Source organism: Homo sapiens, chromosome 8 (genome assembly GCF_000001405.40).
Source record: "Homo sapiens chromosome 8, GRCh38.p14 Primary Assembly".
NCBI lineage: Eukaryota > Metazoa > Chordata > Mammalia > Primates > Hominidae > Homo > Homo sapiens.
Genome location: NC_000008.11, coordinates 49,664,935 through 49,670,415, shown reverse-complemented (window position 1 = coordinate 49,670,415; position 5,481 = coordinate 49,664,935).

Genomic DNA, 5,481 nt, shown 5'->3' with positions numbered 1-5,481 from the left:
AATTATCTTTGTCTCAACTTCTTATCCTTGAGTATAAGGCTGTTGCATCTTTCACATGGAAATTTCATCTTTTGCTTTTCAGAAACGGCATCAAGGTCAGAGTGATCTTTTTGCACCTGCTGTTTTCCAAGTGCATTTAAATGGCATATTTTTAACTTTTACCCCACAATATGTAATACATACTTGGAGAGATACTTTGAGCTCCACATAGCTATCCTATTTTTCTTAAAAGTTTTGGCCACTAATTTTAGCATTCATCAGTGAATCTTGGCTGCAGCTAATACTATGATGGTACTCTAGTAGTGATTTTTCACTTTTCTCATTCCTTCTAAAGTTATTATTTAGAATTATTCTGTAAGGAAAAGTTCTCCCTTTTGGCCCATTTATTTATTCATTCATTTATTTATATGAATATGGATTTTTTTTTTTTTTTTTGAGACGGAGTCTCGCTTTGTCGCCGAGGCTGGAGTGCAGTGGCGTGATCTGGGCTCACTGCAAGCTCTGCCACCCGGGTTCACGCCATTCTCCTGCTCAGCCTGTTGAGTATCTGGGACTACAGGCGCCTGCCACCAAGCCTGACTAATTTTTTGTAATTTTTTTAGTAGAGACAGGCTTTCACTGCGTTAGCCAGGATGTTCTCCATCTCCTGACCTCGTGATCCGCCTGCCTCGGCCTCCCAAAGTGCTGGGATTACAGGCGTGAGCCACCGGGCCCGGTCATGAATATGGCTTTTAATTTTATTCTTTAGGTTATAATTTAATGCTATCAATACCTATTTTATTGATCAAATTCTTAGTTTTGGCAATTAGTAGCTCTTTCTACTTGACTCCTGTAGAAAAGCTTTTTGACACGATACTATCACCTGTGTTTTTTTTTTTTTATTTCTTTATTTTCATGCACTACAAGATGCCCCAGGAACATTTGGTATTTTCTCTACCACAGTGCTAGCGTCAGCCATCTCTCCTTGCTTTAATTGAAGAATGGTAATAGAAACAATTATCTTGGCTTTAGGAATTCTCATTGTTACCAGAGTGTCATTTCTTCTAGGCCCACACAGCAACAGAGCTAGAAATGTAGGTATGTAAACCAAGCAATATATGTCTACAATTTGTTTTAATTTCATCTGTCTTTTAACAGATTAAGGTAAACATGAGTTTATAGTGATAATTCTGACTTCATTTCAGTTCCTCAGGTTCCTTCTAGCCTCTCCTTCCTCCTTGCTTATTTGTAACTCCTCTCAAAAGTTTTAAACACTACTGTATGTAAGTTTTGGTTTAACAAACTAAATATAATCAATATCATTAACTTTATTCATAGAATATTTGTTTAAATAACATATTTTCAGTAAGTATGAGAAAATAATTAGACAACATTTAAGAGTAATTTTTGATATATTGCTTTGCAAACTAGGGCTAGAAGGGAAATTCCTGACCTTAACAATGTACATAAAAAAGAAACCTACACTGACATTGTATTTAAAGTTTTTTCTAACATTGAGAATAAGGCGATGACTACTTTTGTTTCATCAGTGCACTGAGTTTCTAACCAGTGTTGCAAGGTAAGAAAATGAAATAAAATGCATATATATCAGAAAGGAGAAATAAAAAACTGTCTTTATTAATAAGTGATGCAAACATATAAAGTGGAAATCCTAAGAAATTTTTTTAAAAAATAAAACTGTTAGAAGTGTAACTGAATTTAGAAAGGTCAGAAAATACAAAGTCAACATATAAAATAAATTGTCTTTTTATACTAGTAACAGACAATTGGAAAACAAAAGCTAACCAAAAAAGCAGTATCATTTATAATGCCAAGATGAAGCATTAAGAATTTAGGGATAAATTCAAGTAAATATGTAGTTGAGCAGCAGATTAAAAATTACAAAACATTACTGAAGTAATATAAATAATACTTAAATAAATGTAGATATATACTTTGCTCATAATTTGAAATATTCAATATTGTTATGAAATCTGTAATGTAATGAAATTCCAATACAAATATTGGCATTTTTAGTAGAAATGGATAAGCTCATTCAAAAATTTTATGGAAACGCAATGTACCTAGAATAGTCAAAATGACATTGAAAAGGCTAAAATTACAAGACACTACTTAATTTCAAAACTTACCAAAACACTACAGTAATCAAGATATAGAATTATTGACAAAAGGATAGATATGTAGATCAATATAACAGAATAATGAGTTTGCATATAGTTTCATGGATATTTGCCAAATCATGATGTTTTTCACAAAAATGCCAAGGAAATTTCATGGAGAAAGGATAGTCTCTTCTAAAACTGATGTTAGAACAACTGACAATTCACATGAAAAAACCAAGTTAAAACTTATCTCAGTATGCACATAACATTAACTTAAATCATGACATGTATCTAAATGTAAACACTAAAATTATAAATTTTAGGTAGAAGGCTTAGGAGTTTGTTAATTTCTTTGTATGTTTGTTTATTTTCAACTTTAGGATAAACATTTCCTTAGCTATGACAAAAACAGGTGAGTCAGTAGAGAAAATAAATTAGAAAATTAGAATTCACTTAAATTAAAAACTTGTTCTCTTCAATATTACATCACTAAGAAAATGAAGAGCAAGCTGCTGACCAGCAGACTCTACTTGCAAAACATACATCTAACCAACAATTTCTATCCGGAGTCTATAACGACACCTACAATTCAGTAACAATGGAAATAATTGAATTATAAAAGTAGAAAATAATTGGAAGGGCACAAAAAGTAATATATCTGAATGCTAATCAGCACATTAAAAAGTGTCAAACATCACTAATTACCAGAGAAATTACCATCCTTTAGAATGACTAAGAATAAGATGCCTGAAACACCACGTGTTAGGGTAAATTAGAACAATTGGAGCTTTCATACTGTGCTGTTGGAAACCATATTGAGCACAAATGTGGCAAAGTAATCTAGCAATCTGTTATCAAAATAATCTTACATCTGATCATTTGACCCAACAATTCTTGTAGTGGTTTACTTAAAAGAAATGAAAATGTATGTTTGCACAAATACTTATAACAATTCTATTCATAATAACCAAAACCTGGAAAATATAATCCAAATGTTCATCAACAGATAAGGAGACGTGTTGTGGTATATCCCTGCAATGGAAAATTCCTCAAGCATAGATAGAAATGAACTACATATACCCAAGAAAATGGATGACTTGAACATGCTGCTTAGATAAAGAAGGCACACTGTGTGCATACAGTCTGATTATATTTTAAATGAATTATAGAGAAGGAAAATCTAATCTATATGTACAGAATCCAGTCCAGTATTAGCCAAGCACTAGAGTTAAGTGAGGGGCTCTGACTGCAAGACAGGAAGAAAGTCTTTGAGTCATGCAAATAACCTAATTTTTGTTGTAAAAAAAGTCATCAAACCATAAGATTTCAAAAGATAAAATTTACCACATGTAAATTATGCCTAAATAATGTTGATTTGAAACTTTTGCATTCCCCAAATCCAGAAACATACTTAGGTGAATTATTTCTTATTAATGCACATTAGTAGAAGGTCCTACATAGCTCCAATTAAGTGCACATATTCACACCCACTATACACACACACCTACATCTATATGCACACATATAAATACAAATACATACACATTATTTATGTTAAGAAATCTTAAACTATTCATCAATGTTTTTCAATAAGTAATTTTCTATTTTACTATGGCTAACATAGAAGCTGAAAACTAGATAAATTGAGCTGCTGAAAGTCACCTTTAGGTGGAACAAAACATTTGTCCTTGATGTTCAAAAGGCATCTTTCCTTTTTATGCTCTCTAAATAAAGCGCTTTGTGATAGGGGCCACATTTCTCATATATGTTCTTGACTGATTTTCAATGTGATTATTTTTGAGTTTGTTTTCTTTGTTTTTACTTCTAGAAAAATATAAATAGAAATTAATTAAGACTCTGCAGTTTAAAAGTTCTTGGCTTATTCTAACATGTAACAATGTAACAGTGAACTAAAAGGGAATAATGAAGTCTTTAGATGTTAAGCTAAAATAAATAAAAATAATTTTTTGAAAAGGCACAAAGTACAAGGATTTTCACTTTAACAGATCTTGTCATTATGGTTCCCTGAGTCAGTGTTAAGATAAGGACTTTCAGATACTGACTAGAAGACTGAAGAGAAGTGTTTGACACTCTCTTCCCAGTCTCCTTTTGGATCCCAATTAGGCCTTCCTCCAGCTTTGTGCCATCAGCAAATTTAATAAGCAAGCAAGCAGCTCTGTGAAATCCTTAAAAAAATTAGCCTATATTCCAGAACTGAGAATAGAGGCCTGGAGTTTTCTTCATCTTTTGTCTATCTATATAACAACTGTTAAAATATTTCAACTATTTATACAGACTCACACATAATTAAGTATACAAATACGTTGAGGCTTATGACAAACCATTTTGAAGTACAATACACCATTCATCTTATGGACTAACTGTGTGTGCCCCCCCAAAAAAATTCTATGCTGAAATGCAAATCCCCAAAGTGATAGTTTTAGGAAGTGGGACCTTCGGAAGCTAATTAGATCATGAAGGGGGAGCCCTCAGAATGAGGTTAGTGCCTTTATAAGAGGAGAGAGGAGAGCTCTCTCTTTCTCTCTCTTTCTATCTCTCTCTGCCCCACCACCCCCCAACACACACACACACTGTTCTCCATCATCTGCGAATGCAGTAAGAAGATGCCCATCTGCAGACTAGGAAGCAGCTCTCACCAGATTGAATATGCTGGCTCCTTGATCTCAGGCTTTCCAGTCTTTAAAACTGTAAGAAGAAAAAATTATGTGTCGTTTAAGCCATACAGCCTATGGTAATTTTTTACAGCAGCCTGAGCTGACTAAGACACATGTCATTCTCCTAAATTATTGGTGTAATAAGTCTAATTAAAAATGGTCATACGAGAACAGTCTACCGTGCTCTTGTCTTCATGAGCCCATGTTGAATTATTGTTTTTGTTGTTGCTGATTGTTTTTTCCAGTGTCCAGAATGGCACATTTATCATAACTTAAGAGCATTGGGTGCAATATATATATATCTTCCTCATCCCATTGCTCACAGCCTAGTTATTTAAAAAGCTGTCACCAACTTGGCCTAGCCTCTATGCTATGGCTTCGGGATAACTAACAAAGTTTACCTTGCATAAGGGTAACTTTACATACCTCCAGTCGTCATACCCCTGTCTTGTTCTCAACCACTCTTTAAAGTTTATACAGAGAAATTTTGCAATTGTCAGCAAGCAGTCTTGGTGCTTTTGACCAAGAGGAGTGCCTCTGGAGAAAAGGACAAAATCAGTCAAAAAAGAGTACTCCCCTCCTGCTTCCATATTCCCTAACTTCATTCCCTATTTGATAGGGTCATCTTACTTATTTAGACTAAAAAAAAATAACAAAGAGCAACAAAAACCTTGGTCAGTAAGGCTTTGCATTCTTTGTGCTAT